Genomic DNA, 18,026 nt, shown 5'->3' on the forward strand with positions numbered 1-18,026 from the left:
GGTAATTTTGTAGTCCTATCTAGGCTGATGCCTCTGTTTTTTGACAGACACTATGCATTATTCTAACATTAATTTTAGGAAAATTGACATTACTTTTCTAAGAGTGAGGTAATGTTTTTGCTGGCTTGCCAGCTACTTTTGCCAGGATAGGAGAGAGAGAAAAATAGCATCTGAAAGATGTGATTCATATTTTATAAGTCACAAATAATTTTTTCTGGTATTTTAAATTCATATCTAAAATAGTTATTTTATTTTGGAACCAATAGATATTTTAACAAAAGGAAAAAAAATAGTGCAGTGTGAAATTTTTGGAGCATACTTGTAATAAGAAATCAAAGTTATACTAAAGAGGTAACATTTATATAAGAATCCAATGTAGTCACTAGCAAACTTAAAAAAATCTTACTTGGAGTTAATAAAACCACATACTAATCATTGCTTGACTAGTTTTATAAGGAAATAGTGAAATTTGGTGATCTTTTTGCCAACAGATAATATTTGCCTATTTTTCCTTCTGTTTACTTTTCATCATCATTAAACTCCAATGAATATGTATTAGAAAAAACATTATCTCTGTGGTAAAATATAGAGTAGAAGAAGTTTCCCTGTAGCAATGGGCCTTCTTTCCATTTCTATGAATATTTTACTCTCATTTGAAAAAGATTTATTTCATATGTGTCATATGCTTATCCATATTCACCATCAAATTTTATCGGCATATATAGTCTTCACTCTGAGACAGAAGGTTATGATAAAATCTCTTTATTATCCTCCCAGTTGTCATCAAAAATAAAAGGAAGACTCTGAGGAAAACTAATGTTTCCTGACTGGTTACTATGTGCAAGGCACTATGCTATCTACTTTGAATGCATTTTCACAATAACCCTGTGAGATTGTTGTTATCTGTTTTACAGATGAGGAAAATCAAGTTTAGCTATTAGCCTTTGAATGAGGGTTTTCTTTTAGACCCATGAGCCTTCCACTATTTTCTCCCTCAGTAAATATTTTCTAAACATTGGTTGTTTATATCCATTGCTTAATGTCAGCCAGATGCCAGTAGACAGAGAAGGCATCTGCCTACACTGAGTTGAGGGGAAGCTGGTATTATTATTTCCTCTCAATATGTCAGCCTTTGTTCCTCAGCTTTGGTGTCAGCCACCTCATCATTAGAAATTTATTTCATTGAGTTAGGTTTCTAAGATAGACACTTAGTATTTTATTATTTTAAGGTTAATAATATATTTTTTGAAATGGCAACATCTTCATGCAGTTCAGAATTTTAAAAAGTACAAAAGGCTATACAGTATAAGGCCCCCTTCCCATGGTATCTGCTGCCCACTTTTCCTTTCTTGTGTCAGCCAATGTTAGCAATTTCTTATATATCCTTCCAAATATATTTTAGGTATATATATACAAATTTACTGTGTATATGTGTATGCGTGTGTTTGTGTGTATGTATACATACATATATATTCATGTTTTAATATAAAATTTATCATACTTTTTCACTTAACATAACTTAGATTATGTCAGTATAGTAAGAGCTGCTTCTTAATAATCTATTTAATGGGTGTACTATCATTTATTTAACAAGTTCCCTATATTGAACATTTAAGTGTTTTCTGACCTTTTACTACAGTTACCTTATGTATTTAGATACTGTTATTAAATATGGAAACTGAGACTTTTATAGCTATTTATTCACTTACTATCTACACTTACTGCAGTGTAAGCTCTAAGCACAGGTAATGTCTCAATTAAAACAAAAAACTCTTACCAAATTACAAATAAACATAGTTTAAAGAGCCATTTCTAAAGCTTTTTTTAATGAAAAACACTATTCACAGGTCCTTTCTCCTTCCTGCCATTTTTCTGGTGCCCCAACAGCAATTACTTTCAACTTTTAAAATTAATATTTATGACCATGTTTTTAAATAACATACTTTACAATATTTCTGCTTCTTGATTTTTCGGATCTTATGTATTTTTACCTCTGACCCAAACCTAGGAGTTCCTTTATTCCTCCAATATAGTTATATCATAAATTTGACTAGATCAGTATTCAGTCTTTACAGTATAATGGTTATGTCAGTGCCATTGATCCCTGAATTATATCACATATTATGATTAATTTTTTCTTCCTGAACAACTTTTTATCTTTAAATGAATATTGTCTTTTATGCATTTTTATTCATTGTGATTTTTTTCCATGCAATTTTTTTTTGGCTAATTTTTATTGTGATCTTATATATATTTGATCTTAATTAACCGAGTTCTTGGGACTTAATTGACACTTCTGTCTCTCACAGGTGAATTTGTGGTTAGTTCTGTTGAGAGCTGTGAATCTCAAGTGTCCTGGCGCTATGCTGGTTATACATCCCAGGGTCTTTAGTGTAGTTGTCTATAACTAGTTATTGTAATTTGTTGCCACCCCAGTGCGTGTTTTTCTGATTGAAAACCATATAAAAACCTTTGTTCTTGAGACAGCCTTGACTTTTAGAAGTGTTTTCTCTATAAAAATCAAGTTACAGTTCGGTTTTGGGTTTTGGACTCTTGGAAATTTCCCTTCTTGTAAGCCAAGTACTACTCTAAGCATTAAGCTATGTTATGATTTAGTTGTGTTTTTACTGGAGACACTTTTAAGTATAAAATAGTGCTGGAGATGAGTTTCTGGGCCTATATTTGTCTATTGTCTAGAAACTCTAACCGTCCCTTCAGTGTGTAGTATTTAGTTATGGGAAATTTATTGAATTCGTTTTTTGCTTTTTTATTTTTTTATATTTACCAGTTTATTAAGAAGAATATTTTAGAGAATACAAATAAAATAGCTAGATGGAGAGATACATAGGGCAAGGTATGGGAAAAGGGCATGGAGCTTCCATGTGCTCCCTGGGATTGCCACCCTCCAGGAACCTTCATGTGTCCAGTTATCTGGAAGCTCTCCAAACCCTGTCCTCTTGGTTATTTATAGTGGCTTTATGAGGTAGGCATGATGATTAAACTGTTGGCCATTGGTGATCAACTTGACCTTCAACCTCTATCCTTTCCCTTGATGTTGGGGGACGGGACTGAATGTCCCGAACCTCTAATCCTGCCTTGGTCTTTCTGGTGACCAGCCCTACCCTGAACCTATCAGGCAAAAGACACATAAAAGACAACACTTTGGAGACCCCAAGGATTTTAGGAGTTATGAGCTAGGAACTGGCAGTGAAAATCAGTATATATGTATATATCATAATACTGGAGGCCATCCTCTGGTTTTTGACCATGGATTTCTCACATCAAAAGAATATACATAATTATTAATAATTTGTTCAGTCCATCATATTGTTTGGGGGTCTCCCAGGGTGAGGCCATTCACGTTTGCAGATTTCCTATCAATCTTCTCAGATTCCAGAAGCAGAAGTGGTCCTGACAAATGCACAGCTTTATTTACCCTTTCAGGGATCTGGAACAATTGAGCTAAGAGACAGTATCATCTCTTGCTCTGAGACTCTTTAGAGTTGTTAATGTAATATGGAATTTCCTTCAGTTAATAACCCACTTATTCATTTCTTTACTCTCAGCTGTTACTTCTTCTTCTGTCCATTAGTACCCTATCTTTTTCACCTTTGGAAGGGACATTAGAATTGCTGCTGTGTTGGTCTGGATTGCAGGGAGCAGGTTAAGTTTACCAAGTACCTCTTCCTCAGTCCATTCCCATTCAGATTAGGTACAGTTACTTAGGTACAATACTAGTGAGCTATTTTTACCACCAGACAATATAGCTACATTCACTTTTAACCCCAATTTTGCTAGATGGGGGTGAAGATGTAACCCACCCCCATCAGGCCCTTTAGAAATTATGAAATGAGGTTTAAAAACATACTGACAATTCCTTGCTTAGAAATCACCCATGCTTCCAGCATTTGTAGTTGCAGCTCTGGTCCTAGGACCACTATATCAGGTAGGGGAAAAAAAGATATTTTTAAAAAGTGATTTGAGGAAGAAATATAAAAATGCAGTTGTTATATCAGTGTATTTCTCCCTTGGCAAGAATTGTATAGTGTGCATCACCCCCTCTCCCCCAGATCAGCCAGAAAAACAGAAATCTAGTGGGGACACTCCTTTAGTCCCACTTATGTTAAGTGTGAGCACACACTTGTGAAGGCATGTAAGCCAACCATTCATGCCTTTATTTCCCTGTTTTAGACAACCAAGGTTTCAACTGCCCATCTACTTCTCTATCAGACTATTACATTACTCTAAGGAGGCCATCTCTCTGTCCATTGTTGGACATTATGGGCTGCACAGTGTGTTCCTTGGTGTGAAGAAATGATGGTCAACTATCCAAATTCATACAGTATCTTCTACTCTGGTGGAATACTGTCAATTCCTGTCAAGACCCATGTGTAGCCCTCCAGGGCTACCAGCATCGGTCTCATTTGCCAGCTATGTTTAGGGCCACCAGGGAATTTGCTCCATAGCCATCTGCAGCCTCTGTCTCCCTTATTGACAAATAGAACAGTTCCTACTGGCATTATGTATCTGAGAGTGTGCAAAAGGAACATGCCTAGATTCAGCCCACGTCTGCACTGCTGCAGTGCCCGCGTACCCACTCATGTCGTAGACCCAGGTGGCCACCCCAAGGCAGCACACAGGGATATCTGCTTGTTGATTTCAGTCACCTTCCAAACATGGAAAGGAGTTCTGATGAGCATTGACTTGTTCTGTTTTAATGCATCCCTCAAAATGTTGATAGCACCATGATCTACATGAACCTTGAATTATTTTTGATGTGTTACTGTTTTGTTTTCTCTCTTCTTTCTGTAACAACTATTGTTTGGTTGCTCGATCTACTGAATTGCCTGTTTTATTGATTTTTCTTTCCTTTATTTTCTCTCTCTAATCTGTCTGATTTTCTTAACTTTGTTTTTCTTTTCTTTTTTCTTTTTAGTCAGGGTCTCGCTCTGTCACCCAAGCTGGAGTGCAGTGGTGTGATCTTGGCTCACTGCAACCTCTGCCTCCCAGGCTCAAGCGATTCTCCCACTTCAGCCTCCTGAGTAGCTGGGACTACAGGTGTGCGCCACCGTGTCTGACTAATTTTTCTACTTTTTGTAGAGACGGTGTTTTGCTCTATTTCCTAGGCTGGTCTCAAACTCCTGACCTCAAGCAATCCACCCACCTTGGCCTCCCAAAGTGATGGGATTACAGGTGTGAGCCACCATGACTGGCAATCTTATTTTTCAATTGATATTTTTATATGAATTACTATGTTTTGTATTTCCAAGAGCTTTATTTTTTGTTGTTCTTTGAGTCTTCTATTTTTATAGCATTTGGTTCTTGTTTTATGAGTGTCATATCTTCTCTTATTTCTTTGAGGATGTTAATATTATTTTTTATTCCTATATAATGTTTCTTCTAACTGTGCTTTTTCCTTTTCTGTTATTGTCTGATGATATTTGTCTTTCATTTAGAAGCTTTCTCTAAATGTTTTGTTTTCCAGAGGTATCTTTTATTTAGGAATAGGGCGCAAAAGGTTGTTTGGAAGCTCTATGCTGACAAATGGGGCATGATGTAGAGCAGACTTGACTGTATAGTTATAATGACGAGGCTGTTTATTGTCAGCCCTCTCCCACTGTCAGTGTCTTTGAGCAGGGCTAGTTTTATGAGTGTACAACCTCTGTATTTGCACAGGGCCCTATGCTTATAAGGGCCTCATGCTTGGTTTAATCTACTATTGACATCTTTAATTTCTTAGTTTTTGAGTAAGGTTTCCACATTTTTATTTTATACTGAGTCTCAAAAATTATTTAGCTGGTCTTTCTTGCTTGGTTTGATAACCTTCTCTAGAGAAGGTCCATTTAGTCTCCTGTCTGGTGAGGATAATTCAGGCTAAACAGGAAAGATTTCAGGGCCTTTATATTTACTGTGGAAACTTTCACTCCTTTTCTTGTTTACTCTGGTACTCCTGCCCTCATCTGTGCCTAACGTTCCCAGTTTAGAGACCTTCTGTATTCCCCGCTTCAGAGAATAGACCCTCATTCCTCTGTTACAACTGTATAGGGTCAAGCTCTGCAGAATGGTAGAAGTGATCTGGGGAGGACTACAAATTAAGCAAACTTTCAGGCAATCATCCTGCTCTTAGGATTCCTTTTACCTACTCTTCCAGAGTACTTTGCTGCTACCAAATCCTGAGTATTTTGGGTTTTCTGCAGTATTATTGAATTATTTCTCACTTTTCACACTGCTTCTTTAAGATTGTCTTTTTTTCATTTTGCTATTAAAGTTAGCACACATGCATCTGCTTTTAGTCTTTTGTTTTCTCAACTTTGACTCTTTGCCTTTATACCTTTGTACTATTACAAGCAAAACAAAACAAAACAAAACAGAAAACCTATACTCTTTTTCAGATATTTTAGTTGCATTTTAGGTGGCAGCAACAGTAGGTACCTATGAATAATCTGCCATTTCTTTTAAAGATCTGGTATTATTGCTATTAATTTTTATTATTAAGATCTGTGTTAAATAGTTGATATTCTGTTTAGGAGAGGTAATTTAGACAAATAATTATTTTTAGATGATTAATTTAGACAAGTAATTATTTTTAACACTTAGGTAAGAAGTAATTTGAAAAAGGCCATGTCATAATCAGGAGAAATATCTTATTGTATTAATGTACTGGTGTCCCGGGCATACACTGGACAAAGTAGAAGTTGAGGTACTTGAGGTTTTTTGGTGTGTGAAGGAAGAAGCTCATTCAAAGGACAGTGGAAAAGTACAGTGTTTGACTTCTAGGGCTGCTATAACAAATTACCACAAACTTGGTGGATTGAAATACAGGAAATCTATTCTCTCACAGTTCTGGGGATTAGAAGTTTGAAATTAATGTGTCAGCAGGGCCACACTCCCTCTGAACTCTTTCCTGGGAAACTCTTTCCTGTTCTCCTCCAGTTTCTCATGGCACGTGACATTTACTGGCTTCTGGCAGTATGACTGACTCCAATTTCTGCTTCTATCTTCTCCTGGCCCTCTTCCCTGTGTCTCAAATATCCCTCTCTTTTCTCTTATAAGGGAATCAGTCATTGAATTTAGGGCACATTCATAAATCTTTACCTCATGGGTCCTTAATTATAATGCAAAGACCCTATTTCCAAATAAGATTGCATTCATAGGTACCAAGGATTAGGACTTGGACAAAACTTTTTAGGGGCACAATGCAATCTGTTACCGTGTTCTTCCTGGCCCCACAAAATTCCTGTCCCTCACTGTGCAAAATACATTGACTGAGTCCTAATGTTCCCAGAAATCTCAACTCAATAAAACATCAGCTTTACATTGAAAATCTCATCCAAATAACATTAACTCAAAAGTCTCAATGTCATCATCTGAATCATCTAAACCAGATGAGGGTGAGACTGAGTGTGATCAAAGTTCTTTTATTGGTAGACCTGTGAAACTAGAAAACAAGTCATCTGCTTTCAGAATACAATGGTGGTACAGGCATCAGATTCCCGTCTGAAAGAGAAAATTGGAGAAATAAAGGAATCACCAGTTCCAAACAAATTTAAAACACAGGAAGGAAAATTCATTAGGTTTCAAGGCCTAAGACTAATCCTCTATGGCTTGATGCTTTGCCATCTAAGCCCATGACTACAGTTTGGTGAGTTTCTGGACCTGTGACTCTAGTTTGATTATTGTCTGGGCCTGTGCTCCAGGTCAGTTGCCCTCTGTGCCCATGGCCCTGGCTTGGTTATGTTTTCTACTTGCAGTTCTGTTGCCATCTGTGCCTGTGGCTCTGCTGGCCTCTGCCTCTGCACCGGTGGCTCAAGCTATGCCTCTGGGCCCTGGGCTTTGCAACCGTAGATCTAACCTCAGGTCATTCCTCCTTTTTTTTTTTTTCTGAAGATTAGCACATATTTATAGCTTCCTAGTCTAATGAGCCTACTTCCTCCCTGTAGAATCTCAGCAGTCTGACAGTCATTCTTCATTTCATTTATTTTTCCTGCATCCTAGGCTTCATCCTAGGCTTGCTGTATATCTCCTTCATTCTAGGCTTGCTGTATTTCTCTTAGTACACCATTTTCAAAAACCTTGTGAATCCTCTGAGTTAAGGGGATTCATGCTATTAGACAAACAAGTTCTCCACAGATCTTTTCTGGATAACCCTATACAGGCATGCCTTGGAGATACTGCAGAGTTTGGTTCCAGACTGCTGCAGTAAAGCAAATATTGCAGTAAGTGAGTAAGATGAATTTTTTTGTTTCTTAGAGTACATAAAAGTTACATTTATACTATACCGTAGATTATTGTATGTAATACCATTCATGTCTAAAAAATGTACCTAAATTAAAATGCTTATTGCTAAAACATGCTAAAAATCACCTGAGCTTTCATTGAGTCATAATCCTTTTGCTGGTGAAGGATTTTGCCTCAATGTTGATAGCTGCTGTTGATAAGGGTGGTGGTTGCTGAAGGTTGGTGTGGCTGTTGCAGTTTCTTAAAGTGAAACTATAATGAAGTTTGCTGCATCTATTGACTCTTGCTTTCATGAAAGAGTCCTCTGTAACATGCAGTGCTGTGTGATAGCATTTTACCCAAAATAAAACTTCTTTCAAAATTGGAGTAAGTTCTCTCAATTCCTGCCACTACTTTGTTAATTAAGTTTGTGTGGTAATATTCCAAATCCCTGGCGGCCATTTCAACAGTGTTCACAGCATCTTCACCAGAAGTAGATTCCATCTCAAGAAACCACTTTCTTTGTTTGTTCCTAAGAAGCAACTCCTTATCTGTTCGAGTGTTATGTAATTGCAGCGTTCAGTCACATCTTTTACTTACAACTCTAGTTTTCTTGCTATTTCTACCACATCTGTGGTGGAAAGGAATTTATTATTATTATTATTTTTAGCAGTAGTTCTCAACAATGGTCTTAAAATATTTGGTAAACCATACCGTAAACAGATGTGCTGTCATCCACGCTTTGTTCTTCCTCTGATAGAACACAGGCAAGAGCAGCATAATGCTTAAGGGCCCTGGATTTTGTAGATGGTAAGTGAGCATTGGCTTCCACTTAAAGTCACCAACTGCATTAGCCCCTAACAAGAGTGTCAGCCTGTCCTTTCAAACTTTGAAGCCAGTCATTGACTTCTTCCCTCTGGTTGTGAAAGTCCTGCGTGTCATCTTCCAAGAGAAGAATGTTTTGTCTGCATTGCAGATCTGTTGTTTAGTGTTGCCACCTTCATCCACTATATTAGCTAGAACTTCTTGATAATTTGCCGCAGTTCTACATCAGTACTTGCTGCTTCACCTGACATTTTTATCTTATGGAGATGGCATTTTTCCTTCAACATCATGAACCAATCTCTGATAACCTCAGATTTGTCTTCCACAGCTTCCTAACCTTTCTCAGCCTTCACAGAATTGAAGAGAGTTATGGCCTTGTTCTGAATTAGGCTTTGGCTTAGGGGGAAATGTTGTGGCTGTTTCAGTCTTCTCTCCAGACCACTAAAACTTTCTGCATATCAGCAATAAGGCTGTATCACTTTCTTATCATTTGTGTCTTCACTGGAGTAGCACTTTTAATTTCCTCCAAAAACTTGTCCTTTGCATTCATTCCCATCTTGGCTGTTGACCTGAGAGCCCTTGGTTTTGGCTGCTCTCAGCTTTTCATATGCCTTCCTCACTAAGGTTAATTATTTCTAGCTTTTGATTTAAAGTGAGAGCCATATGACTTTATCTGTCATTTGAACATTTAGCTGTTATTATAGGGTTATTAATTGGCCTGACTTCAATATTACTGTGTCTCAGAGAATAGAGAGGCTCTAGGAGAGAGGGGTAGATGGGGAAATGGCTGGTTTTTCAGTCGAAACACATACAACATTTATTAAGTTTGCCATCTGATATGGGCATGGTTTGTGGCACCTGAAAACAATAGTAACATCAAAGATAACTGATCACAGATCACTGTAATAGATGAACTAATAATGAAAAATTTTGAAATATTGTTACAATTACCAAGATTTGACACAGAGACACAGAGTGAGCACACAACTGTTGGAAAAATGGTGCTGATTCATGGGGGAAACAACACACATTGGGGCCAATTGGAAGGTGGAGGGTGGGAGGAGGGAGAGGATCAGGAAAAACAACGAATGGGTAGTAGGCTTAATACCTGTATGATGAAATCATCTATACAGTAAACCCCCATGACCCAAGTTTTCTACGTAACAAACCTTCATGTGTACCCCTGAACTTAAAAGCATTCAATTTGTAAAAAATGCAGTATCTGTGAAGCACAATATAATGAAGTACAGTAAAATGAATTACATGCACTTAGTGGCTTAAAACAGCAGAAAATTATGTTATGGAGGTCACAGTTTTAAAAATCAACATCTTGGCAGGGTCATACTGCCTCCAAATGATCTAGGGGGAATATTTCTTTACGTCTTCCGGCTTCTATTAGTGACTGATACTCTTCAGCATATGGCAGCATAACTCTATCCTCTACTTCTTTCTTCACGTGCCTTTCTACTCTACATCTCTGTCTCAAATCTTCCCCTCCTTTCTCTTGTAAGGATACCAATAATTGGACTTTGGGCCCATCCTAAGTCCAGGATAATCTCATCTTATGATTCTTAACTAATTGTATCTACAAAGACACTATTTCCAAATAAGGTTACATGCGCGGCTACCAGGTTTTAGGACTTGGACAAACCTTTTAGGGAGGTCATAATTCAACCCACTACAAGTACCACTTTTAGTATATTTAAATATATGAAGGCAAATAATAATACTGTGGACAGGAAAACACACTACACAGATAAATGACAAGAGCATTAAAAAGTGATTTTTAGTATTCAGCCATATTCCTTTTTTTGATCAAATTTTAAAATGTGTTGAGAAGCTGTGTTATTAGCAAGTTCCTTTCTGCTTCTGGGGTTAAAATTTACTCAAACTTTGGAGACCAGACTTAAAGTGGGAAAAGCCATACAATATTACAAGAATTCTAGAGTGTTTTAAATTCTTATTGATCGGGACGTTTGTAGATTTATTGTGTATATATAGGTTACAGGCCTTTTCTTTAACATTCAGTGACTAAACATTGTTTCTTGCTGTAACCACAAAGTAGGGAGGATTTGTTGTAATTGTCCCATACAAGTAGGCAAAGCTGGTCTTAGGATTGCAAACTTTGCTCTTCCCTTCTCCCTCCTGCCTCTCCTTTTTTCCTCCTCTTTTATCCCTCTTTCTCCTTCCCTTGCTGTCCTTCCTTTCCTTGATATTTTCCTCTTCCTACATCGTTTTCTTCCTTCTTTCTGCCTTCTATTTTTTTTTCCTCCTGTGCTTGGCCTGAGTTAGTTTTGAGCATCTGCCTTTCAAGGCTCCATGCCTTTGAAGATCTTAACAAAGCTAAAGATAAATAATGATCTGAATCTGATGCTAATAAACTGAATCTGATGCAAAGTGGAGTTTCTTTCCTATTGGAGCACTTGATAAGGTGACATTGAAGTAGCAGTGGGAACAGAGCCAATCCAATCAACAAATTAACCAGGATCTCAGCTGGGGTTTTGCAAAAGGCTACATTTCTCAGGCTGTGTAGGATTTGGCCTTCATTCTTTGACAGAATGTGGTTGGTAGAGGACATGTTGTGCTAATGGAGAATTGACAATGGCAACAATCATGGCACTGTTGTAAACATATCATCTTCTCTTATGAAGTTCATTTGAGTAGTTGTTTTCATCTTCAGGGTGATGAATTTAGTGTGACCTGTTTATTCATTCCGCTTTGGCTCACCACCAATTTCTTTCCTTAATGTTTTGCCTTAGACATGGATATAAAATTGTCATTTCTGGGGTTTGTAAATTAACATATAGGAAAATTGATTACTTCTGTGCTTGTATGAGTAGATTGTGAGGTCCTTTGCATACCTTCCTCACTGTATCTGTTAGGAGAATTCCAGGAGAAGTTTGCTTTTTTAATCCTGTTTCTGATTGAGAGGATTCAGCAAAGCTGATGGCTTTGGAATCTGCATGCCATGAAATTCATGCCATGTGTTAAGGCAGCCATTATTGGAATAGGAGCAGTGATTAAAATTAGTCTTTTGAGATTTTGGTTATCTTACTCTAGAGGGACAATCTTATTAAGGGCATCCATTTTAGTATTGGAGATAGAATCCTATGGCAAAATTCTTTATTTCCATTTGTAATATTTATACTTTTAGACTGATTCTTATCATGTGTGTTTTTTTTCTTCCATTTTATATTTATCTAAATTTGGAATTAGTTTGTGAGACTGGGGATGATTTTGAAGGGTCTGTCATGTGCTGTTATTTGTTACTACATGTATAGAGAGACTGAGAAATGAGACAATGTAGAGGTGGAGACTAAACATTTATTCTATGGGAAAGACTTCTGTTGCATAATGTTGTATCATGCTCATGAAACCTACTTTCGTTGCAAGGATTATGGCTCCTTTAGGAAAAACAACCAGGCTTATTGCAGCTGTCAAGTGATGTGGTTGATGAGAACTGAAGAGGTGTTGTTTTGTTGTTTTTCTTCTGTATTGATGGTATGCACATATGGTATAATCTTATCTTTTTTTGCACTACTCTGGCATTTATAATTAGGCCATTTAGATGTGTTGGATTTTTCAGATTTTGGGAGGGGTAATTTTGTACCATTTCTCATTCCGAATTTTTTCATGTATGGGTTGTATGTTATCACACCATCTTTATTTTGATTTCTTGCCCCACAGATTTCCTTTTGGAATATCTGGAGGTGTTTGTGTCTGCCTTCTCCAATACAGTGGATTCGTTGTTGTGAAAGGGATGTAATCTTGTGGCTTCCAAGAAGGTGGTGGTGAAGCCTATATTGGAAAACCTTTCTCAATCAGATATTATTTGCTAATTATGTTCTATAGTGGAAAACCTTTCTCAATCAGATAATATTTGCTAATTATGTTCTATATTGGAAAACCTTTCTCAATCAGATATTATTTGCTAATTATGTTCTGGTAGGCTAATTATAGACTGGCTCTTGACCAAATAATTTGGAAGGTGAAAAGCAGCTGCTTTCTGATAGATGGAATATAATGTGGTTAGTTGATCTTTGGAATTTCTTTATCTTTTTAAGATCACTGTAATAATTCATTCCAAACACATCAATTAAATGCTGACTTTTAGCCATCCGTGTAGCAGAGGATCCTGTTGCTATGCATGAATTAATTTCTTAGAAGTGATTAGTAGAGGTTCTACTTGGCTTGGCAATTGCCAACAAAAATAGAATATGAGCTTTTTAAAAGAAAGCCTTGGTTCAGATATTCATATCGTGTATTGTCATCAATATACCAGTGATGGTTACTGAACAAAATTTTTGTTAATATTTCACTTTTTTTGGAAAGCACCTTTATTTGTTGATTGTATGGTTCCTTGTTTACATGTGTCTCTATTAAAAAATTTCTTGAATACTCATCATGTCCAGGCATATTAAGAGTATGAAACTTAGGTATATTTAATCATTTTAGCTAAGAAGCAGTTGGGATTGGAGCAGTTATGGGTAGTGGAGGCTTGGTTGGAATATGCTTCCATTTACCTTTGAAAAGCACCTTTGCATCAGTTTTTCAGACCAAAATTTCTGGTTAGCAGTAATAAATTGATGAATGACTATTTCAGATTTTACGGACCATGACTAGTTATATGTCTTTGCTTCACCAGAATGTATGAAATATGATATGTGATTCTGTGTTTTATTGAGTTATATACAGAAAACATACCTGTTGATGAGGGAATGAGAATACATTCTAATAGCTTGATTTTTGATAGGATATTTTCAAATAAGCATTAGGGTGGCTATCAGGAGATCTGATTTAGGGTTTGCTGTGCCCTTATTGAACAATACCTGGCACACAATCATATTATTTTAGTGACCTTGAACACATTTTTTGACTTATCTGGGCCTCAGTATCCTCATTTATAAAATGAACATATTGGAATAGTTTACTTTTGAAGTCTTTTTTTGCTTAAAAAATCCACAGTTTTATTTAAGGTGAGGATATTTGCTTTTGTCATCTCTTTCTAGTGATGTTTTGGGGTTTGACATTTTGAAAGAAAGTTATTATTGTGGTCAAATTTGGCTTGACTCCTTTAAAGATAGGCTGTAAATATTTGGCTGCATATTCTTGAAATGAATTTTAGTATGACTATTTGGTTATTCCTGTGGACAGACTGTTGTGTCACAGTGTGGTTGTATGATTGCCATTAGTAACTTTGAAGTAAGCAAAGGAGGGTTAATTGATCTGTTTGTAACATACTGTATTATAGGATAGTATTAAGGAAGTTGGAAGTGTATCTTAGAAATAATTTATTCCATCTCCCTCATTTAACAGATAGAGAAATGTACCCAAAAAATTTTTTTAATTTATATGCTTAGCTTGTATCAGAAAAAGAACATTGATTTTATTCTCATTCAGTCATTCAACAGACATCTACTTGAACCTGTCAAGGAGCCTACTTTTGAAGACCAGGTTGTGAATAATGTTATTAACACTTTTATTTTGATGTAAAATAGTTCTGCTCTAGTTCTGTCTCTCTCTGATGAAGAAGGAAACACCTTTCGTACTTCCCAAATATATTTGGCCTTCAAATCTTGGCCATTCTAGTTCTTCTTTATTCAGTGCTTATTGACTGAGCTGACATTTTATATAAGGCAGCATTTAAGTTACCTATATTCAGTGTCAAGTAAAATTTCACGCTCTCAAATTGTATTGTCAAAGTGTGAAATCTTTCTGATGTCCTTTTTTCCTCACTTTAATAAGTGCCATAGTGTTGTGGAGTACTAGCACTACCTCTTCCAATATAGTGGGGGCACACAGGAATGAACAATAAATGTAATACATAGTGATAGGTGCTATGAGAAAAAGCATGATTAGTGGATATTGATCAGTGGTGTACTATTTTATATAAGTGGTCAGGAAAAGTCTCTCTAGTAAGATAATTTTTGAGCATGATGTAGAGGAAGTGAACATGCAATATCTGGGGTAAATAGCCTTTGAAGCACAGCAGCAAATAGCAAGTATAGCAAGTGTAATAGTCTTACACTTTTAATAGCACACCAATACTTTTTTTTTCTTTTTGAGACAGAGTCTTGCTCTGTTGCCCAGGCTGGAGTGCAGTGGCGCGATCTCGGCTCACCGCAACCTCCGCCTCCCGGGTTCAAGTGATTCTCCTTCCTCAGCCTCCCGAGTAGCTGGGACTACAGGCTTCCACCACCACGCCCAGCTAATTTTTGTATTTTTAGTAGAGACAGGGTTTCACTATGTTGGCTAGGCTGGTCTCGAACTCCTGACCTTGTGATCTGCCCGCCTCAGCCTCCCAAAGTGCTGGGATTACGGGCGTGAGCCACAGCACCCAGCCTACACACCAATACTTTTTAATAACTAATGTCATTATTCAGAGCCATCGATATTGAATGATTACACTATAATTATTCAGAGCCATCGATATTGAATGATTACACTATAATTGAAATGATATACATTTATTTTCAATTTGTAATGAATTAGGCCAAATAATATATTCGTCTTTAGTTTCATTTAAGGCATCTAGGGTAGTGTGCTTTGCCTTAGGCTAATTAACTCTAATTTTTAAAGATTGTCGAATTTTTTTGGTAGTCTCTTCAATTTTTAAATTAGTAATAGGTATTGTCAAGAAAGAAAGAAAATAATATTTAATCAGATAAGTTTAAAAAATCCTGATTTTAGTAAAGGTAAACAGATTACTTATGAGTTTGTCAGAGGTTTTAATATGTGAATATATGTTGTTAATTTCCACAATTTGTTTGACTATGGTAGCCTATTTTATATTAGCTTTTCTATTTTGTAAAGCAGTCTCTGGGTAACACTAGTGTATCTGACTGCATATATCCCCAGGGTAGGATATATGCATCCCAAGAACTGCCTATTATGATCCACTAGGTTATAAACATAAAATGGCAGAATATTTCTATTTACTTTTAAAATCTTGAGCAATGAGAATAAAAGCTATGCTAATATTTAGTATATGGGTTGGTGCTTTTGCCTTACCTAGGTCCTTACATGAGACAGTAATATACTATTTGTGAAATAACTTGACATGAATGGGAGTTCCAAAGTGATGAGTTTTAGTGATGTCCTCATTTGTTTGCTTGTTTATAGTGTAGTATATTACAGGAATTTTCTTAAACAGGTTAATGGATTTAGTTATTATTACCTAGTTTTAACTAAAGGAGCTCCCACAAAAATGGGAAACTATCTTAAAGTAGATCGTTGCCATGAAACATGGATTTATAATCCTACTAACAAAAATCTGTGTTTTTGACAATTGCTGTTGATTCTTTATGATTAGGTAGTTGAATAAATTGTGATTTAGCTGTAATATGACAAGATAAAGGGCTTACCAGAAAAAAGAATAAGATGTTGATAATGAAATGGAACCTGTTTAATCAGTAAGGTATAATAAATAAGGGGAATTGATGAAAAAGGAAGTGGTAGCAGTAAATGGACAAGAACTATCAGCATTCTCTTTTATCCTAAATATAGTTGCAGCTTAATTTTCTCTCAGAGCTCCTTCAAGTGACAGTGAGTTATCCTTTGCAGTCATTCACGGTGGGTCACAGGCTGGCAGAGGCAGTGCCAGTTGCAGCACGTGTCTTCTGCTGTCATCTTAGGCAGTAACACCCAGCAAGCCAGTGTCAGAAGGGGAGTGTGTGGAAGATTGTATAGGAAGTTTATGTGGTTCATCACTACAACCAACCTGGCATTAGTATAATAAATCCCACTTGATTGAGATGTATTCTTTATGTCACTAGGTTTAATTTGCTATTATTTTCTTTGGGATTTTAGTTTTTGTATTTATAAAAGAGATTTAACTCATAATTTTCTTTTCTTCTAAACAACTCTGCAGATTTTAGTATAAGGGGTATGTTGTCCAAATAAAATATGGTAGGGAGTATTCCTTATTTTCACATTCTCTGGAAGAGTTTGTGGAAGATATCTGTTAATTTTTTCTTAAATATTTCTTAAAATTCACCTATTAAGCTTTCTGTGTGTACAGATTCCATGTGTCTGGAGAATTTTTTGTGTATGTGTTTGTTTTTTTTAGTTAATACAGGTGCAGTTTCTTTAACATATATAGGACTATTCAAATTTTGTAATTCTTTAGTTTTGGTAAATTGTGTTTTTTATTTTAGTAGTTTTAAAATTTTATGTAAAATGTTATATTTATTGATATATTTTGTAATATCTTTTCATTTTTAGAAATATTTATAGATTATATAATGTCCCACATTCGTGCCTGATGTTGGAAGTTTTGTGGGTTTTTCCACTTCATTATTTATCATCTTTTTTAAATTTTTAAATTTTTATTATTTTATTATTATTATACTTTAAGTTTTAGGGTACATGTGCACAATGTGCAGGTTAGTTACATATGTATACATGTGCCATGCTGGTGTGCTGCACCCATTAACTCGTCATTTAGCATTAGGTATATCTCCTAAAGCTATCTCTCCCCACTCCCCCCACCCCACAACAGTCCCCAGAGTGTGATGTTCCCCTTCCTGTGTCCATGTGTTCTCATTGTTCAGTTCCCACCTATGAGTGAGAATGTGCGGAGATTTATCATCTTACTACTTGTTTCACTTTTTTCTCGTCTTTTTTCTCTTTTTGCTTTCTTTGGCTTCCTCTGTCCTATATGTCTTTTAAAAGATTTTTAAAAATATTTTCCATCATATTAAATATTCCTTTTGCTGTAGTCTTTATTTTTTTTCACTGTCTTTTGGTTTCCTAATTCTGTTTCCGGCTCTCTTTCATCTGATTATGTCATCTATTGAGTTATTAATAGTACATATTTCATAGATCTAGAATTTCTATTTTATGGATTCCAGTTCTCTGGTGAAAATCTCTATCCTATCTGTTTTCTCCATTTCCCTTCTGTTTTTTGGATGTGTTAGGAACTCTTACATACATTTTAAAAACTCTGTGATAACTAGCATCGAAACCACCTATGGACCTATCTC

At 36.1% G+C, this 18,026-nt stretch overlaps 1 protein-coding gene across 37 annotated transcripts in view; it reads left to right on the top strand.

Annotated features, from left to right (window-relative positions):
• Positions 1-18,026, top strand: part of CCDC91 (coiled-coil domain containing 91) — a 359,711-nt gene that overhangs the window by 153,353 nt on the left and 188,332 nt on the right. The gene's annotated exons all lie outside the window — the stretch shown is intronic.

This window comes from Homo sapiens, chromosome 12 (genome assembly GCF_000001405.40).
Source record: "Homo sapiens chromosome 12, GRCh38.p14 Primary Assembly".
Taxonomy (NCBI): domain Eukaryota; kingdom Metazoa; phylum Chordata; class Mammalia; order Primates; family Hominidae; genus Homo; species Homo sapiens.